This window comes from Homo sapiens, chromosome 9, assembly GCF_000001405.40.
Source record: "Homo sapiens chromosome 9, GRCh38.p14 Primary Assembly".
Lineage (NCBI taxonomy): Eukaryota > Metazoa > Chordata > Mammalia > Primates > Hominidae > Homo > Homo sapiens.
In genome coordinates this window covers 66642495-66664883 of record NC_000009.12, presented here as the reverse complement: position 1 = coordinate 66664883, position 22389 = coordinate 66642495, and positions in this window count along the sequence as shown.

The window sequence follows — 22389 nt, the reverse complement described above, 5'->3', positions numbered from 1 at the left end:
ATTTGTGTCCCATGTGGATGCTCACCAAAGGATGACCTCAGCAGAGAAGAATTTTAAAAATCAAGTGGATAGGATGACCCATTCTGTGGATACCTATCAGCCTCTTTCGCCAGCCACTTCTGTCATCTCCCAGTAGACTTAGGAACAAAGTATCCACAGTGGCAGGATGGAGACTTAGCCTACATGGACTCCCACTCACCAAGGCCAACCTGGCCATGGCCACTGTGACGGTCCAGTATGCTTGCAACGCAGACCAACTCTGAATCCTTGATATGCACCTGGGGTAATAAGCCAGCTACCTGGTGACAGATTGATTACATTGGGCCACTTTCATCATGGAAAGGGCAGTGTTTTATTCTTACTGGAACAGACACTCTGGATATAGAATTGCCTTCCCTACATGCAATGTTTCTACCCAAGCTACCATCCATGGGCTTACAGAATGCTTTAACCACAGTCGTTGTTTTCCATACAGCAGTGCTTCTGATCAGGGAATTCAGTTAACAGGAAAAGAAGTGCAGCAATGGGTCCATGTTCATGGAATTCATCGACTTTACTATGTTTCCTACCATCCTGAAGTAGCTGGTTTGGTAGAATGATGGAATGGCCTTTTGCAGACTCAGTTACAGTGTCAGCCAGGTGGCAGTACTGAGCTGGGGAAAGATTCCTCAGGAGTCTGCATGCTTTAAATCAGCATCGAAAATATGATGCTGTTTCTCCAAAAGGCAGAATTCACAGGTCCAGTAATCAAGGGAAGAAAGTGGGAGTGGTCTCACTCACCGTTATTCCTAGTGACCTACTAGCAAAATGTTTGCCTCTTGATCCTACAACTTTATGATCTGCTGGCCTAGAAGTCTGTTTCAAATGAAGGATTGCTTCCACCAAGAGACACAACAATGCCTTTATAGAACTGGAAATTAAAACTGTTACCCAGTGGCTTTGGATTCCTCATGCCTGTAAATCAACAGGCAAGGAAGAGAGTTACTGGGCTAGTTCTGGTTATTGATCTTAACTGGCAAGGGGAACTTGGACTCGTACTTCCAAATGGAGATAAGGAAGGGTGTGTCTGCAATATATATACCCTTAGGGTGTCCTTGGGATTATAATATTCTGTAATTATGGTCAATGGAAAATGACAACCACCTAATCCAGGCAGGACAACTAATGGCCCAGACCCTTCAGGAATGAAGCCTTGGGTCATCCCAACAAGGAAATAATCACGACCAGCTGAGGTGCTTAGTGGAAGAAGTGAGGTGCTTAGTGGAAGAAGGTAGCTATAAATACCAGCTATGACCACATGACCAGTTACAGAAATCAAGATTGAAATTGTTATCAGCATTTCCTCCTTTTTTGTTATGAATACATACAAATGTGTGTGCGTGCATTAAGCAAATATTATTGTTTTTCTGCTGTCTTATTCCCTTATAAGGGATGTATTGACTATATCATTGCATTTAAGTGTTGTTGATTTTATATTATAACATTTAAGTTGCAGGATATCAAGGAGAAAAGTAAACATCATTCGAGGATTATACCTCCTTTTCTGGGGAAGGGGTAGGTGTGTCTTCAGTGGTACATGGGATGATGATATATTAGACAGAAGCATGGCCTTGCTATTTTCTTTATTTGGAGATTAAGTATAGTTTAAGGAGATGTGTATGGATGCCAAGTTGACAAGAGGTGGACTTGCGATGAATAATTTCATGTGGAAATTTGACTATGTCATGAGGTGCCCAGATGTTTAATGAAACATTATCCCAGCTATGTCTGTGATGGTGCTTTTGGATGAAATTAACATTTGAATCAGTAGACTGAGTAAAGCGAGCTTCTCTCCCTAATGTGAGTAGTCCTTACTCCATCAGTTGAAGGCCTGAATAGAACTAAAATTACTCTGACCTTCCAGTAAGAAAGAGAAAACTCCTGCCTGACTGTTTGAACTGGGTCATGACTTTTTTCTTGTCTTCAGACTAAACTGAAATATTGGCTCTTCTTGGATTTTGAGCCTGCCAGTTTTCAGACTGGAACTTCCACCATTGACTCTCGTGGTGCTCAGGCCTTCAGACTCAGACTGGAACTCTCCCATTGGCTCTCCTGGGTCTCCCGCTTGCCAACTGCGAACTTGACTTCTCAGCCTCCAGAATTACATAAGCTAATTACCTATAGTAAGTCTTTCTCGCTCTCCCTCTGTCTCTGCTATTGGTTCTGTTTCTCAGGATATTCCAGATAGTACAGTCACCTCTGGCTGAGAATTCCAACTTCTTCACTTTATAGATTATTCTTTCTCTATGATTCAAACATCCTATCTCATAAATAAGATTTATTTTCTCCCTCAATTTTCACCAAAAAAAGACACATATACATGTAACCCATTAGTTTATTTTCAATAACCTTACAGAAGATATGGAGGTGTAACAAAAATTACTGTAAACATAAGCCTTATATTCTTTCTTTTTGTTTTGTTTTGTTTTGTTTTTTTTGAGATGGAGTTTCACTCTTGTTGCCCAGGCTGGAGTGCAGTGGCGCAATCTTGGCTCACCACAACCTCCACCTCCCGGGTTGAAGCTATTCTCCTGCCTCAGCCTCCTGAGTAGCCGGGATTACGAGCATGTGCCATTACATCTGGCTAATTTTGTATTTTTAGTAGAGATGGGTTTCTCCACGTTGGTCAGGCTGGTCTCGAACTCCCGACCTCAGGTGATCCACCCGCCTTGGCCTCCCAAAGTGCCGGGATTACAGGTGTGAGCCACTGCACCCAGGCCAAGCCTTATATTCTTTAAAAGTTAATTCCCCACTGCTTGGCCAGCTAATTCCCTCTGAGCTTCTCTAGCATGATCCTGGCTCTCCTTCCTGCATCTCCCTCCTTCCCGCATCTCCCTCCTTCCCCTCCCTTCTCTTCTGTCTTTTCTCTTCTCCGGAGCAAAAACTAAATTGGTCTCCTTTTCTCACACAAGATAGTTTTGGTGCCCCCTTTGCTGCTTTAACTCCTGCCAATGGGCATAACTTTGAAGTTTCAATTTTATCCCAAGCAGCTCATCAAACTAGTACTTCAACATTAGGAATTCTTCTGTAATAGGAATTCTAGTGCCAGCTATTCAAGTTATAAACATCTCAATCTCTGTCACAATCAAAATAACTGCCATTGACTGAGAACTCATGCTCCAATCACTGTTATGATGTGCTTCACTGACATTCTCTCATGTTCTTACAGAAACACCACATAGTCATGCTTTTTCTAACTGCGGCAGATGCTGCTGTGTTTCTAATCAATATCCATTTTCTTCTTCTTTTAAATTAAAGGGTGCTGCTCCATTCAGTCCCACTTTACTAGGCCTCTGCATTGCACCCCCGCATACTATTGTTGGTAGCTAAGGGCTCACAAGTGCCCTGTTCTCTCCTGAGCACTTCTTCAGACTTAAGGGAGCTGCCTCGCCTGGACAACCTGTAGCCAGTGACTGACTGACACATGGTATAAAGGGCTATTCCTCTAGCCTCAACGTCAGGCCAACTCTGTAATGCAATCCATGCTCCAAAACTCTGGGTGTCAGGCTGAGCCAGTCTTGTGCTGAGATCATCCTGGCTTAGGTAGATCTCATCTTTGTCTCACCCTACTTACTATTCCCCTCTCATAAGGTTATTCTCTCAAGAAAAGTTGCTCAATAATTGCTATTGCAGGCTCTGCTTCTAGAGAGCCCTACCTGACAGATTGACTGCGCTGCAGAAAAAGCAATGAAGGCCATTAACAGAAGGAAACCAATTAGGGTATCACTGGAGCCTGGGTGAGTGGCGACCTAACAAGAGCTCACTCCAAAATGGTAGCAGTGGACACAGACAGGAGTTGGATCAACCAGTTCATTTGTTTTCCATAATCATATTTTATTTTCCTTGTAGCAATTATCACTCTCTGCTATTATAGCATTTTGTGTCTTTTAAAGTTTCTTTGTTTTTTGTTTTTGAGATGGAGTCTTGCTGTGTTGACTAGGCTGGAGTGCAGTGGCATGATCTCCACTCACTGCAACCTCTGCCTCCCAGGTTCAAGTGAGTCTCCTGCCTCAGCCTCCCAAGTAGCTGGGATTACAGGCACGTGCCACCACACCCAGCTAATTTTTTTAGGGGCGGGTATGTCTAGTCCAGACAGGGTTTCACCATTTTGCCCAGGCTGGTCTCAAACTCCTGACCTCAAGCAATCCACCCACTTCTCCCTCCCAAAGTGTTAGGATTACAGGCATGAGTCACCACGCCTGGTCTCCTTTAAAGTATTTTTAAATATTTACCTTGTTAAAAGTTTTTATCTTCCTTTAAAGAGATATAAGAATGAGGGCCTTTCTTAGGTACTATCATATTCTTTCTGCCCCTAAAACAGTGCTGGCAGACAATTCATGCAAAATACGTATTTGTAAATAAGTGAATGAAAAATGAATGGAAGAAAAGTGATTGAGATTAGCTTGAGGCCTATGTGGGATTGAGGGAGCTGATTAGGTTATAAGTTGAGAGAGATCTAGAAATATCAAAAGAACTCTGGAGAATGATCTGTTTGGTATAATAAATTATATACTGGGAACTCAGGAGAGATACTATAAGGCCTAAGACGGTATTTGGGTGACTAAGCCCTTCACTTTAAAAGCTCAGTGTAGTACTTTATGCAAAACCTTGAAACTTACCGTATTTCTTTTTGGCATTTTGGGTGATGCTTAAGAATGTTAAATAATGAAAGACTCTTTGTGTTACCTGTACTGTGTGTGTATTAGAATTGTAACCTATTTCAGTTTTCGTCTCATCACCAACAAGCTTTTCAAAGTAGTAGAAACTACTTTTTCAGAAGGTGAAGTAATGCTGTTTTGTCCAGTGGGTGATTACTTGCTGTGAATACTTAGTGATCATCAGGCTTGGAAACATGCGTAGGTGTGTATAATAAATGAGACCGCTACTACCTGTTAATTGTACTTTATAATTGCAGTTTATCTCCTCTGTACACCTGCAGAGTCCTGGCTCATATCACAGAGAAAAGGTCGTTACTGTGGCTTGACTGAGAGAGCTCATTTATTAAAGCTCTAAGGGGTTGTATTATCAACTTCATCTCATGTCTTTCTACATTATCTAATATTCTCCATTCAGATGTACACAAAAAATATCCATCTTTTAATGCGTAACTGATGTACATATATGCTGTTATCGTTATTGTTAAAGAACTTTAGTTATTTAAAGTTAGTAAATTAAAGTTATTGTTATGGTTATGCTGTTAAGTTATTGATGGTTAAATCAATAACTTTTAGGCAACAAATTGGTTGATCGCTTATTGTTGATTTTAGGCAGTTGCCAAGCAATATTAATGTCCTAACATTAAGATTAATGGAGTGTATCATTCATTGACTTGATCATTTCCCTCCCATTTCTATTGCCCTGTCCCTTGGGGTGCTGGCATTGGGTTCGTATGTGTGCAATCGAATCTTTTCCGTGGCAGATGCTGAGGAGCAAGTCCTGACAGTGAATAGCCATGTGTTTAGTCAGCTGTTTACACAGGCTCAAGGAAATGAGAATTTTATGGAAAGTTGATAAGACATCTCACTACTTTCAAATTCATTTTAGAAAAGTATAGTATGAGAAGAAGAGCTTCGACAAATATTGTGTCTAAAAAGCTAAAAACATCCTGATCTTCGTAACCGAGTGGCTAACAAATAAACTAAAGAAACTCACACAACGCTCAGTTAAAGGAGTCAAAATAAACTGTCATAGAATACACATCATGATGAGGTCTTATTTAGCAATATTATATTCCCTTTAACTGCATTTGTAATGTGGACTTAAATGGGAGAATACTGCATTCCTTTGCCTTTTCCTCTCTCTGAAGGTTTTGAGAGAAGAAACAGAAGAAGTTGTAGAAAATCAACTCTGCTTCCTTTTACTAATTGTGAATATAAGCTCACCGTACTCTGGAGTGAAAATAAAAACAATGTTTTAGTTGATTGTATCTACCAATGCCATCTACTCCACATTCTTGCTTTAATTGGTAGCTTATTTTAAGAAAACACTATGACTTCTTTGTAGAAAATGTACTTTAAGATCCCAGAAGCATTTAATTCCTCAGGAAAACTTATCAGGATGTCATATAATGATTAAAAAGACGTTCAAAATCAGTAATTTTCATCAGCTGATCTGCTTTCTTGGTATTTTATACTGTAATACCCTTTACTATATGTGATCTCTGAATAGATAAGTCAGCTTTCAATGCTCACAGTTTTTAACATAGAGTATTTTTTTTAAACTTTGAGTATTGTATAGATTAGGGACAGTGACTTTCACTGAATGAAACTATACTTACTTCTGGTATAAAGAGAATATATACTCATCTACACATGCTCCACTTTGCACTACAGCTGAAGGACTCTGAAAGCACACCGCTCTGGGTTTTAGCTCCAGGGCATCCCGTGGGTGGGTCACTGAGCAAAAGCATTATAGGACATCCCGTTCTACAAGGAATGAGGACAAAGCCCAGGCTTTTCTAGAAAGTTCCTCTATATATCAAGATACTGCATTCTTAGCACATTCTACAGTTATTCTAAAACTGTAAGCCAGGAAATGGGGAAGGGGAGAAGAAAGCTGGGTCCGCTGAGGCCATCTAGGGGCCAGTCCTCCTCCAGAGGCCGTTAAATTGGTCCAGGAAAGAGAAAAATATGGCTTTGATCAGGGTGGTGACAATGGAGTTCTTAATCAGTGGTAGGGTTTTTGATAGGTTTTGTAAGTGTGATAGAACCAATAAGATTTCTTTCTAGACTGGATGTAGAGTGTGAGAGAAGAAGAGTGGTGATCCCAAAGTCATTAGCTTGGGCACCAGATGGAATTGCCATCAACGGAGATTAAGGAGGAATGATTTGTCCCTTAAATTGCACAGTTGTAGCAATAGATGAGTTTACTAGGAAATAAAACATGTGTTTGCAAAGGACTGGTCTATTTCCTTAAGAAAACAGAAACTAGGCCGGGCGCGGTGGCTCACGCCTGTAATCCCAGCACTTTGGGAGGCCGAGGCGGGTGGATCACGAGGTCAGGAGATCGAGACCATCCTGGCTAACACGGTGAAACCCTGTCTCTACTAAAAATACAAAAAATTAGCTGGGCGTCGTGGCAGGCGCCTGTAGTCCCAGCTACTCGGGAGGCTGAGGCAGGAGAATGGCATGAAACCGGGAGGCAGAGTTTGCAGTGAGCCAAGATCGCGCCACTGCACTCCAGCCTGGGTGAGACAACGAAACTCCGTCTCAAAAAAAAAAAAAAAAAAAAAAGAAGACAGAAACTAAAATATTAGTGCTCATTTTATGCCTGTCTTTGTCAAAACACTAGGACATTAAATAACATGTAGGGCAATACAAACCAAAAATGTAATAAGCATGCAATGCCCATATCCTCCACCCCAGTAAAATAATTCATGTATTCAGCTTGCATCCAAATTATTTATTATTATTATTCTGCCAAAGTGTTTCACACAGGTTGCCATTTTAAATTTTGTTTTTGATGAAATGTCTGTTGAAATGCTCCTTTGGAGAAATGACTGTACTTTCTCTTGATTCCTTGACTAAATTTTCACAGAATCGTTTGATCGGAAACTATATAGAAATGTGTTCACTATTATCCATTAGAGTTTATTAAGCAATGAAAGAAATGAAGGCATAAGGATAAAACGTCTGCTCAAATTTCTGAGCAGTCACTTTCTCATTAGAGCTCTTGTATTTGGGGACTCCAATGTGGAAATACCGTGAGAATTTAAAGAACAAATAGTACATCTTCCTCCCTTAGAAGGTATCAGAATTTTTAATTTTTATATTATATTGTATTATATTATATTATATTATTATTATATTGTATTATATTATATTATATTATATTATTGTATTATATTATATTATATTATATTATATTATTTTATATTATATTATATTTTAAGACGGACTCTAGTTCTGTCACCCAGGCTGGAGTGCAGTGGCGCCATCTGGGCTCACTGCAAGCTCCGCCTCCCAGGTTCACGCCATTCTCCTGCCTCAGCCTCCCATGTAGCTGGGACTACAGGCGCCCGCCACCACGCCCGGCTAAATTTTTTTGTATTTTTAGTAGAGACGGGGTTTCACCGTGTTAGCCAGGATGGTCTCGATCTCTTGACCTCGTGATCTGCCCGTCTCAGCCTCCCAAAGTGCTGGGATTACAGCTGTGAGCCATTGCGCCCAGCCCAGAAATTTTTTTTAATGGTGAATCTTAAATGGTGAATTTAGATAATAACCTAAGATAATTTTGTAGAAATGCAAAATTTGCAAAATAATTTCTGATCATAAAAGGAGGATAGGTGAAAGCTTATCCCAGGTGGTGTCTGACCTGCTCTTGTATGTCTGGATTTTCACACTAGAGTGCAATGATGTGGCATATCCACTCTGATTTTTGCAAGTTTAAGAAGTTACTTTAGACATATTGTAATGTTTCTTGCAGCATATTTCACTCCCATAAATGGGGTAACAACAGTCCATATTAAAGTTAGTAATATATTACAATTAAAGTGTCTAATTCTCAGATCCTTTGTAACACATGGGCTACAATAAATCACATACAAAAAAAGTCTTAAATTATTAGAATCTATTATGTAAAAAGTGACTAAGAGAATCATGCTAGTTTTCAATTTATTGCCTCTGATCTCCAAATGCAGTCTTCAATACATGTTCTGTACTAATGGACATCTTTAAGCATTTCTGCTTACCAGTAAGGATACCAGTAAGCAGAAAGAAGGCTGTTCTGCTCTTTCCAGCTGCTGCATGGTGTGCCAGCAGTGTGGGTATGAGAACATCTGGTGTCATTCTGCCCCAGTGACATGTTCAAAATACACCACCCCTCAGTCCTAGCCTGTCCTAGTGACCACCTTCATGCAGCCCTCTTGAGAGAGACGCTATGTGGTCCAGGTCTCTTGCCCACACTGCCACCCTGATTCCCTCTGCCTGCTTGTCCCTACCTTCCAGACTTGTCTTGTGAGGTCCCCCTGATGCAGCGGCCCTCCTCTCAGGGTTACCATATGCTCTAAGCTTTGTGCTGCACTGGCATTGCAGGGAAGTTTACATTTTCCCACTGAAGTTTTGATAATGTAAGCCTATGAAACAAACTGAAAATAGGCAGATTAACAGAAGAAAAGGCATACAAATTTATTAACATGCATATGGGCTTAGGTATCACATACAAAGTATTAATAAACTCAGAGCGAAGGTCAGATGGTTGAAGTTTGTATGCCATCTCGAGGCTACAGAAAGAATGGCAGCTCAGAGCATGGCCAAAACCAGGTTATGGTGGTGAATCAAGTTATGGTGGTGGGACATGTTATGGGAGGGAGAGAAGAGGAGGCCTAGCAGCAAAGCTGGTCTTGTTATGTAGCTGAAACCTCACAGGTAGCAGCCATCACAGAAAATAGATGGTAAATGTTTCTTTGAGAAGTTTAAAGGTGTCAGACTAGACTCAGATGAGGAAGGGCCCCAGAGAAACCTGGCTGTATCAAGGCAGATTCTCTATGGATGCAAACCTCCCTCCTGAGGAAAGACAGCTTTTCAGGGCTACTTCTATTTGCAGACCCTCTGAACAGCCATCTCAAAAGATGTCAAAGAAGGATATTTGGGGGTGAAATGTTTTGATTTTCTTCACAGGCATACATTTTACATGGCAGAATCATAATAAAGTATAATTAAATAAAACTAAAGTACAAGTATAATTAAAGTGAATACCTAGTCCTATAACAGATACATTCCACAAAAATGTAATGATTAACACCAGGGGCAGTTATATTTCAAGCTCATGCTTCTCAGCTTGTCTGTTCTTGTAGCAGTGTAGGTCAAATCAGAAGATAAAAACCATAGAGTGATTTCAACAGAAATTTAATATAAAGAATTATACCATGATAAAAGATTAACTATAGGATATAAGTGAACTCTCTAAGTTAATCTAGAGCTGAGGGAAGATACTCAAGGAAGAACGAACTTGGAAAGAGAAGCCCTTCCCCAAAGCTGTAGTTAAGACTTTATTGGAGAAGGTGTTTTATCCTACTGAATTACAGAGAAGTCTATCTGTTTACCTGGGTCAGAGCGGGCCTGCAGTCACAGGTGTAGCCGAGCTATGGACTGAATTGCAGCCCATCCCAATTCATAGGTTAAATCCCTAGCTGCCAATTTGGCTACATTGGAGATACAGTCAAATTGTAGGTTAGGGATTTAACCTATGAATTCGGACGAGCCGCAATTCAGTCCATAGCTCAGCTTCACCTGTGACTGCGGACCAGGTTAAGCCAAGCTATGGACTGAATTGCTATGACCTGAATTCATTTAGACTACATTTGGAAGTAATTAAAGTGACATTAGGTAATTAAAGTTACACCCCATCAGATTAGGTTGGGCCCCTAATCTGATAGGATTGGTGGCTTTTTATGAAGCCTATAAAACAAACTGATTATAGGCAGATTTTTTAAAGGCATATCCATTTATTAATGTGCATATGGATTTGGGACTCATATGCAAAGTATGAGGCTCAAAGCAGGGGTCAGATGGTTGAAGTTCTCTCTCCCTCTCTCTCTCTTTCTCTCTCCTTATACATACAGTTAAAGAAGGCCATGTGAGAACACAGCTAGAAGGTGACCATCTACAAGCCAGGAAGAGATCCCTCACCAGAAACCAACTGGCCAAAACAACATAACTTTGGACTTCCCAGCCTGCTGAACCGTGAGAAAATAAATTTCTGTGGTTTAGGCCACCTAGTCTATGGTACTTTGTTATGGCAGTTCAAGGAAACATATACAAGCAGGAAATAACTCTCTGGAATGAGGATGGGGTGCAGGTAAGCAATAGCGAGTGGCTGGGTGCCTGATATACAAAAGGAGTAAAGGTATACAAACCTTTCCTTTGCTAAAGGAAATCAAAAATATTTCACCCCAAAACATAGTTCTTTGATGTGTCTTGAGGTGGCTATTCAGAGGGCCAGCAGACAGGAATAGTGCAGAAAAGCTGACTTTCGTGGAGTAGATTTGCATCTGTGCAGAAAATCTATATAGGTGAAATAAACAGCCAGGCTTTCTCTGAGATTCCCCTTCTGCAGCATGGTATACAGGCTTCTGAACCCCACTAAGGTATTGACAATCACTCTGTGATTCTCTTTGTGCACACTAATAAATTTGCATGCCATTTCTCCTGTTAATTTACCTTTTTTGAGTTGATTTTTCAGCAAACCTTCAGAGGGCGAAGGGGAAGCTTTTCATTGGCCTCTACACCTGGTTTCCACTTGATTAATTGGCCTCCTGAAACTGCCCAGCTGTTCGAAATGATTTATGCATCTATGTGGCATGGATCACTTCACTATGTCCAGTACTAACCTAAGCAATGCAGGCTCTTGCCCATTCGAGATGAGACTCTAATAAAGCATGAACATTGTCTAAGCCACCTAAAACTTTCATAGAGAAGATAGTCGTTGATTTCACATATTGGTTCACAGAAAAAAAGAATGGGACCATTATGTATAATTAACCTTACCATTATTATCATCTGAGAAGTCTTTTTCTATATTTTAAAGTAAATGTCAATTTAGATAGTGAGAACTATAAACTACATTAAGTTGAAATGAAAATGCTGACCATATGTTAATAACTTCATGTTAAGGAAATATATGCACTCGCTGAGAAAGTCTACCATTTTATGATATCATGAGCAATTAAATATTTTGAATTATTTTTCATTTTATATATATACTATTTGCATTTTTTGGTTTGCTTATAATATTCTCTTTATATACAACCCCCAAAATAAAAATAATTTGGAAAGACATGAAGAAGATGCTACCTACCACCAAGAAACTACCACCAAGATATCAAAGATAAACAGAACCAATATTTTGCTGAGCAGCCTTCCATGTATTTACATGTCCATACACATGGACTTAGGACTAAATAAATTGTCACTAGTGGAATCACACTGAATCCTTGCTAGATCATGCTAGGCCATGAGTGAAGGACTTATATATTGAGAAATAAAGAGAATCCTAAGCCCCCCACTTGACTGAACAGACTTCCTCTTGGTCAAAGGGACCAGAGGTTTTTAAGGTTTCTCTAGAGAATGGCTAACGACCATTAGGCTTTCTTCCCTAAGGGTGAAGGCAGAAACCAGCCCTTTCAAAAGTCTTGCCCAGTGATTTCAGCCAACTGCCTGACACTTGTCCTCCCTCTTGCAGCTTTAACACAGAAACTGACCAGCATTCCTTCCCAATAAGAGACCACCCACCACAGCATGGCTCTGGCTGGTCTACAAAGGCTGTGTACTAAGTGCCTTCGTATCCTCCACTTCACCTTTTGATGTACAAGGCCTAACTGAAATACACTTAAATGCTATGTCTCCACCCCAAAGTGAACATGGGACACATGTTACATACATGTTAGCCTTTCTTATTCCTCCCTCCCTGGAAGCACTTATTTTCTGCTCAGTTCAGAGGTTCAGAGTTTCTGCGTCCTGCCTGCGGGTTGTGGTAACCTGCTTTAGAAATATAGCCCTCTTCCCAAATATATGAACCATGATTCTTCAAGTGGACAGAATGATTTATGGACTTCCATAAACATGTGCATGGTGGGCTCACAGTACACATTTCTGGAATCACTGAGTAAATGCTATCGACAAACTGTATTTTTTCAGGTTAATATTATGTCATGGAGACATCCCAATTCATCAAGGTGGCTGGCTAAGATAACTTAACAACAACACCCAACTTTTGTAATTAGAAACACCTAGAGACACTAGAAAATACGTAACAATTCTCCTTTCCATTCTCTGTATTTAGAGTTGGGTGTTGATAGCATTGCAGATATCAGAGACAAAGCCTTTGACCTTTGTGATATAATGAATGGGAATACAGATGCCTGCACCCAGCCAGCACATAGAAAATAGGGCACATTCAAACAGTAGACTGATTTTTTTAAAGAGAGAAAGGATAGGGAACTTTGCTATTCTCTAGGTGAAAACAGAAATTTCTCCTTAGAAATAAAGCACTATACTTATTCCTTGCAGGTATTTAGAGACTAAATATACATAATCAGCTTTGTAAGTACTTAAAATGCTTAAAATAATACATTATTATAAAGTAAGAAGTAATAATAAAATTCACCTTTATGCATATAAAAAGCCTCAATACATATGATGTAAAAGTTGACAAAATCATGATAAGTGAACAGATATTCCAGAGAGACAGTTTAAAATACCTCACTCACTGTGGGGAGGGGACAAGTTATTTAATGGATGTAGTTTCTGTTTCACAAGATGAAAAACTTGTGGAGACTGGTTGTGTTCTGAATGCGAATACACTTAACACTACTGAATTGTATTTAAAAATGGTTAAAATTGTCATTTTATGTTGTATTTTGCCACAATTAAATAATACTTCCCTCAGATACTGGTTGAGCAATAAACCAAAAACAAAATCTCAAAATAAGGATATTTGAAAACACTATTTATGAAAATTTTATGAAAAGGGTATTAACAGACCATAATACTCAAAAATGACAAAAAATGCTTTCCTTTCAAGTTGATATGAAACACTTATAAAAATTGCAGTGTACTAGGCCACAGCAAGTATCAATAAATAATAATCATCGGGCCAGGCGCAGTGGCTCACGCCTGTAATCCCAGAACTTTGGGAGGGCTAGGTGGTCAGAACACGAGGTCAGGAAATCGAGACCATCCTGGCCAACATGGTGAAACCCTGTCTCTACTAAAAATACAAAAATTAGCTGGGTGTGGTGACACGTGCCTGCAATCCCAGCTACTCAGGAGGCTGAGGCAGGAGAATTGCTTGAACCCAGGAGGCAGAGGTTGCAGTGAGCTGAGATGGTGCCATTGCACTCCAGCCTGGCAATAGAGTGAGACTCCATCTCAAAAAAAAAAAGTAATAATAATAATTAATATGATCATATTCTTAGACCACAATTTGACAACATAGATTTTGTTAACCAGAAGATCACAATATACTATACTTTGTGAAATTTAAAAATACATTTGAAATAAGAAAATGAAGTTATGTTTAGAACAGAATGGCAATAAAAACACTACATATCAAAGCTTGTATATGTTTGGTGCAACTAAAGCATTCTTTAGAAGGTGGTTTGTATTTGTAAATATATTTATTAGTAAAGAGAAAGCCTAAAAAAATATCAGTGGGGTAGGTAACTCCATCAGAAGGGAGACTCCATACATAAGACTACTTACATGACTACAGAGTTATATAAGAAAGACAAACAGCTCAAAATGTAGAAATAGCCAAATTATAAGGGAACCCAGTGCATGAGATGTTCTGCTTCAGGTCCATTGGGAAAGAATGGGCAACTCTAAATATTAATGGTACTGGGACATTAGTTACAGATGAGAAAAAATATAAAATTGGACCCCTACCTGTCACTGGACACAAAAAAACAAATGTAAGTTCTAATGAGTTAAAATAAAAAATAAAAAACTTTAAAATTCAGAAAATATGAAGAAATAGTTTATACCTTCCAGTGGACAAGGATTTCATACCCAAAACAAAAAACTATGAAGTAAAACATTGGTTCATTTTACAACAATAATATTAACATTTTAGTTTATCAAAAGACTTTATAAAAAGGGAATAGAAGCCATTAGCGGAAAGAAGATGATTTGCAACACCTATGAAAAAGGAGTAGTGTTTATGGAATATGAAGAATTCATACAAATCAGAAGAGAAACGAATACAAAACTGGACAAAGGAAACATATAACCTGGCATTTCATAAACAAAGAAAATCATATTACTTATAAACTTAACAAAGATGCTCCACCTCCACATGTGGAAGTCAAGAACAACTGAAGTTCAGCAGAACACCCTGAAGTCAAGATTTTGTCGTGTGTATGTGTGTGTGAGAATGTGTGTATATTTTTTATGTTCTGAGTCTGCATATTTTATTGTATACTTTATGGACATTTTCCCATGTCATTAAGTTAAGAGAAAAGCATTGATGACTCATTCAACATATATTTAGCGAGTTGTTACCATGTGCAGTATAGTTTTCTAATTACTGGAGCTAGATGAATGAACGAAATAAAAACAAAAATCTCTGCCTTCATGAAGATTCTATTCTGGGAAAGGCAGACCATAAACAAGAAAAATATAGTATATTAGACAGTGATGAGTGTTAAGAAGCAAAGTAAAATAGAAGGCTAAAAAGCATTGGTCGGGGGAGTGAAAATTTTGAAGTTCAATATGTGAGTAAAGTTCTAACTGAATCAATCAGCCATACATAGGAATATTGTACAATTCAATCATCTCTCCATGGTTCAATATTTAGGTATTTCTATACTTTGACATTGTAATAAAAGAAAGTGAAAACACTGTCACATGTCTTTGCCAGTGTCTCCAATTATTACCTTAGAAAGGTTTCTTTTTTTTTTTAATCTTTTTAATTTTTTTCTTAAGACAGTCTTACTCTTGTCGACCAGTCTGTAATGCAGTGGCATGATCTGAAGGAAGTTGCCAATGACAATAAGACAGTTCACTCAAATGTTACCTCTAGAGGCAGACAGTAATTCCTGCCACAAATATATTTTAAAATCCTAAATTTATTGTTAAAGATCTGGTAATGGTTAGTACAGTAACAGAGATGGAAGGGGAAAGAAACATATCAATGAGATGTTTTTCTATAAACAATATAGACAAAGAGAATCAAATGTTCTGTTACATTAGACATCACAGCCACTCATGTAATCTCAATGTATGGTTCTATACGGAAAGAGCAGCTGATTTCGGAAAACACATCCCCCCAAAAAGCTGTCTAAAGCAGTAGAAAGGAAATCTTTGAGCCACCAAGTTGTAAACTGAAGAGCTCCCCAAAGGCTCATGACATACGATACTGTATCTGGTCCTAAGTCCAGCAGCTTGCCACCTAAAAGCCAGAGTCAAGACATGGATGGGTGGAAGGAAAAAATGGTTTTAATCAAGGTGTGAGAGCGGCAGGAAGGAAGATAAAGAGAGTGGATGACTGAAGTATATTTTTAAAACTGAGGTCCTTAGTTACAATACCGTTGAGAGTGTGGGGGAATAAGGCTGGAGGGATGACCAGCTTCAAAGGAGGCTGCTCACAGGGTTTCCTATGTGAGCGCTGCAATCTGCAGTTATGTAACTTGGAGGATTAAGTGGGGCTGGAAACAGGAGGATTTATTGAATGTCTGTTTTAGTGTTTTAGGAGTGGTTGAAGACGGCCCCACATGTCCATTTCTGTATAAAGGACAAAATGTTCATTTTCCATAGAGGATAAAACAGAGAGTCTCTGGACTGGAGACCACGGAGACCAATTGAGGAAACGGTACAATATTGAAAACAAAGTACACACTGAAAATTGAGATTCGCAGCTTTTCTCATTTCTAGCTTTTAGGATGCTGACAACAGGGCTTCCTTCCTCCAAAAAGAGAAATAAATAAATCAATAAATATTCATCTGTGGGGATTAGACCAGGTCAGTAAAGGTAAGCCAAAAAATCCTGACATTGGTCTGGCACAGGGGCTCACGCCTATAATCCCAGCACTTTGGGAGGCTGAAGCGGGCGGATCACGAGGTCAAGAAATCGAGACCATCCTGGCCAACATGGTGAAACCCCGTCTCTACTAAAAATACAATAATTAGTTGGGCATAGTGGCACGTGCCTGTAGTCCTAGCTACTCGGGAGGCTGAGGCAGGAGAATCACTTGAACCCGGGAGGTGAAGGTTGCAGTGAGCCGAGATCGCGCCACTGCACTCCAGCCTGGTGACTGAGCGAGACTCTGTTTCAAAAAAAAAAAAAATCCTGACATTAGGCATTTCCCCCAAAAATAGATCTAAGAGCAAAATAATGGTCCTAGTGGTGAGTTTCCAACACTAAATAACTAGAGGGATTTCAGGGCAAGCATGTGGGGCTTTGACTAGTAAGTAAAGACTAGTAAGTAAACCCTGGATTTAAATCACAATGTGAGTTCTGGAGATCTCACAGTGTGAGTTCTGGAGAGCTCTGAGCAGTGGAGAGATGGAAGAGGCTTCATGGGAGACTCATCCAGCCAGGAAAGAGAACTTTAGAAGGTTGAGCCTGAAAGCAGGGAGCTCACTGCGGAGGTGAGAGGGGTTGGGGGTCGGGGGGGCAGGGGGGAGGGAGGGGAGGTTGGCATTCAGTCCACAGGGCTCCTGGGTTTTTCTGAACCTAGAGACTTCCTAAAATATTTAGTATTCCTGAGATTAATGTCTATTACCTATTTTCTGAATGGCATGCTTTGTAGTTCTTCTTATAGGAAAGTTCTTGTTCATTATAAGACAATTACGAACTTCCTGAAACTCTAAAGAAAGCTGAATGTAGCAAAGTAAGCTCACGGCTGAAAATACTCTTCCATTTTCAACAACCTTGTTACAAAACTCGGCAAAGAGAAGACTCTTAGTGAACACACAAAGGGGACCTGAATCAGGAGAAGCTCAGGCTCTCCCAGGAGCTCCCCTAAAGGGTTTAGGTGCGTCTCAGAGGAGCTTCCACAAAATGGAGTTCTCCTGGAAACAATCACTGACTAGTTGTTTTCTCTTAAAATATCAATTTCCTAACAGTAAGAGAAAAATTAAAACACATTTAAATTATATAGAGTTTATTTGAGCATTTGGAGATTCTTTTTGTTTTCTTTTCTCTTTTCTTTTCTTTTTTTCTTTCTTTTGAAACAGAGTTTCCCTCTTGTTTTGCAGGCTGGATTGCAATGGGTCCATCTCGGCTCACTGCAACTTCTGCCTCCTGGGTTCAAGCAATTCTCCTGCCTCAGCCTCCCGAGTAGCTGGGATTACAGGTGCCTGCCACCACGCCAGGCTAATTTTTGTATTTTTCGTAGAGATGGGGGTTCACCATATTGAACAGGCTGATCTCGAACTCCTGACCTCAGGTGATCCACCCGCCTCAGACTCCCAAAGTGCTGGGAATATAGGTGTGAGCCACCACACCCAGCCCATTTGCTCTAGCAGATTATTCTCTACTCATGTAAGGGTGGAAAGTATATGTCGTTTGTTTACTGTGACTCTTCCAGTTTCTTTTTTACAGAGAACCCACAAAGCTAGAAGATGGCTACTAGATGAATTATGTGGGCTCTCCAGAGTTGCAAGTAACTATACCATAAGAAATTGAAATTCATGCTTTTCATTTAAATTGTCAAATTTCTTGCCTTAAAGTTGTTCAGCATACATATTATTATAATCCTTGTAGTATCTCTAGGGTCTATAATAATGTCCCATTTTATATTCTTGATATTGGTGATGTTTTCCTTTTGCTAGGTGTTTTGCAGTTTTTAATAATCTTTTCAAAGCATCAGCTTTTGGCAGCACAGATTTTATTATTGGTCTGTGTTCCATTTCATTGGTTTTCATTTTATTTTTAATTTTTTCTATTTACTTTTGATGCTTAATACTTTATTTTCAAATAGTTAAAATTTTATAAAAATCAAAGGTGCATATAAGGCTTTGACTTTAACAAATTAAAGCAAAATGAGATTTTTACAACTTCTTCAATGTTAATTTAGTAATAAAATGTTTTTTATTAGCCAAAATATTTCTGCTTTTTCCAAGATGAATGATTTCCCAATGAAGGAGCTTTGATTCTAAGAAATTGTTCTTGTCTCTTCTTGACTAAGATTTTTAAATGATGAAATGAAGCACCATTCTTTAAATGTCTCATGTAATATTTACTATAGACTGCTGATAATCTTTTAAAGCAGCTAAGGATGTTAAAATGTTGCCTTTGAGGTAACCAGCCATTTTACAGGAAATATGATACTATTTGGTGTTTTAAAGATGTTAAAATTAATTTCAGTCCTTGAAAATATGTATATAGATACGTATATAATTTACATGAGAAAATAGCCTTGGTATTTCAAGAGGAAATAAAAATTGTTGTGCCAAACTGTGCTGGGTTTATTATCTATATTCGAATTATGAATTCATATTATTAAGGTCTTTTAATTCAAGAGATGAAGAAATAGTTTAAATATTTCACTCCAAGTGAATGGTCTGTCTCTTAGATGATTAAAGAAACAGAATAGTTCTTCTCTACTTTTTGTCATAGTGACTAATACTAGCAAAGCACTTCAGTCCTTCTCTAGGAAAATCACCTTGTTTTTCTACATGATTTGTCTCTCAGTTACGCACATGTTCTATTTCCTGGGCAGGGGTGGAAGGGGAGTTGCTCTGTAGAATCTCTGGTCTCACGGCAGACCCTGTGAGCAAGAAATAAACTTAGAGGAGGCCAGCCACTGAGACTTGGAGGGTTTATTTGCCATTACTGCACAGCCCATCTTATCCTGGAAAATGTACCACATGAACACAAACATAAAAAACAAGACATTTTGTATTTTAAAAATATAACTCAAATTAAAAACAACAAGCTTTTATAACCTGATGTTAGCATAATCATTTGCAAATATTACTGGATATTGTGCCAGTGGCTGTAGTTGGGATGAGGGTCACAGCTGTGCCGCAGAAATATGACCTGGATCGTGGGTCGGGAGAAATCTTTGGCCCTAAGTCTCTTGGCCATCAGAGGCAACTGCAAAATCAAAGTGCACCAAATACTCCCATTCTTGCTGCACTTTGTGATGAGCTATAGAAATTCAGAAAATGCCAGCCACCCAGGATGTTGGTTGGACCTTTGCCTTCAGAAGGTTTGCCCATCTGGGTCATCATAGAGGAGATGGTGGCTGGACCAAGGCTCTGATAATCTGCTCCTAATGTTCATCTTTCTAGTGCAATGCCCATTCATCAGGACAAAGAGAGAAGGAGCCCTTTACTGCCTCTCCCTCCTGAGGGCCGCGGGCTGTTAGGGCTGGCCTCCGTCCTCGATGCAGTGTGCAGGTTATTGTGGATGATCATCTTGGTACTGGGCCTCTCCTGCCTGCTGGGTCAGGCTTGGTGGATAAAGAGACTGGCTCACCACTGCAAGAGTCTTCTGGGCTGACATATGGTGAGTGAGGCATTTGATGGGTGTAATTCTGGTCTGCGGGATTTATTGCCGTAAGTTGGTCAGTGCTGCCTGGTGGTGAAGTGAAGCCATCCTTTGATGGCTTCATCTATTGCGGATATGATATTCTATATCTTCTCTGGTGCTGACCCTCTTCATACCCTGCAACAAGTTCCAGAAGTGGAAACAGTAAAACATCTGCCTCTCTGTCACCACGTTTTTCTCTGTGATCATCTGAAGAGACTGTATGACATGAGCCTCTTCATCAGAGCTGAGCTGAGGCCTGGAGACCTGTGAGGTCACCGCATTGTGCCCATCTTCCTCTCATTAATGGGCAGGACTTTCTCATCTCCCTTTTCATCTTCCATGTCATCTTCAGTTTTCAGTGAGCCATCATTCCAACCTGCTGGCAAACACCCAGGAATGGAGGACATGGAGTTAGAAGAGTCAGTGCATGAACAGCAAGACCTTCTAGATGCATGAGCACAACGCAGCTCTCTGAACGGCACGATTTCCCAAAGGCGCTTTGGGAAAACTTACCTGATTGTCCTCTTAGAAGAAACAGGTATCGGCCCACTGGGATAGTGGTGGTGCTCCACGATGAGACTATCCCAAATGCTACATCAAGTTACACTGGAAACAGCTCCAGTGAAAGACTTTAGCTCCATAAGGAGAACTTATTAGTGGGATACATAGCATGGTTCTTCCCTGGGAGTCTCTAACCTGGTCACCCCATTCGCACATTTAAAATTATTTTACTAAAGACTGCGGGAATAAACCTCAGAAAACCAGTAGGTGCAGGAGAGGGGCTAAGGAAAGGGAGTTAGTTAAGGGTAAAAGAAACAATCATTTGGACTCTCTCACACACATTCTATTTCCTGGTTTTATCTTTTTTGGAGATGAAATCAATGATAGCTGAATAAGGCTCACAGCTGGAGGCTTGAAATTCTAGATAAGAAATTTCATGCCAATTTTAATACAACTGGATAGAAAAACTAACACCAGGTGCCTCAAGCTTCACACACACACACACACACACACACACACACACACACACACACACACACATCAACTGGCTTACAATCCCTGCAACTAAAGCAAATCCAATTGCAGACAGTGCTGGACTCACTGGAAAAGAGCTGGTGATTGTTTCTCCACTGGGTGTCAGAAAGAAGCAAATTTGCAGCCTTTGGGCTGGGCTGCTATTGGTTGATGGGTGTGGAGTCCCCTCCCAGGTCTCCTTTAGAAAAGCTTTGGATTCCAGATATCACCTCGGACAGCATTTCTTCATAGAGGATGCTGTGGTTCCTTCTTACCTGATCACCTGTGGTAAGAAAGCCAAAGACTCCACCCTCTTCACCCCAGAACAGCCATAGAAATTCTCTGAGGCAGCAGGCTGACATTTCTAGTTAGCAGTTGCTTCTGCTTTGACTCAAGAAAGGTAAGTATTTCACTAGAGCTTATATTAGAAAATCTGGAGTTTGGGATTTTCTTGCTTTTCTTTCAGGGATGTGAGCACATACTACAGGAGAGCTGGCTTTGAAGCCTCTTAGGTTTGTTTTTGTACTCAGACCAAGCTGGGTCCCCTGAGCACTTTTGCATTGCTGGTAAGGAAGGTGAGCGCAAGCCTCTCTCTCACACACAGGTGGACTTCATTGTGATGCTATAGAAATCTCCTAAAGGACGCAGTGGCAGGACATACCCAGCATAGTAACACTACCCTTCACATTGGTCATTTTGGTATAATTTTAAAACTCATACTAGTGTATTTAAGGCATTTTATAGTTATCAAGCAAATTTTACACTTTAATGCTAATAAATAATTTATCCTACAAAATCTTATGTATACATGGGATAGATTAAATATGTAAGAAAGCATGATATATGTATGCTGATCAACTATAATTAATCAGCACGTCTGACTAGACCTGAATATAGATAACCACTCATTTCAGTCATGAAGCTCCAGGTGGAGTAGAATTATGTGAAGAGCTTGCAGAAAAATGATTTTGTTTGTTCAAATTCCTCTATTCAGCCAGATGCCAGCATTCATCTTGCATGCACGGTCTGGTCTTACTTTCATGGTTTTTGTCATGCCCTCCAGCCATCTTATCTGAGGGCGCTCTGGTGTTTCTTCCACCCTCAAGGCACGGTCACGGACCCAGGTCAGGGAAAACTATAGCCTGCACATTCATAGCCATGTCCTTATCTGCATCATGGCCACCTTCACATGACACGAGTTAGGACACCTCTGCATTTCTGTAATAACAGATCTCCCAGAACCCTCATTTTCTGGGCTTATACAGGTTGTTTAATGTCCATCAAGTTAATTGAGTGAAATCGACTTTGACAACAGCCTTTGTCATCCATAGTGAGAGATAACTCAAGAGATACCATGTT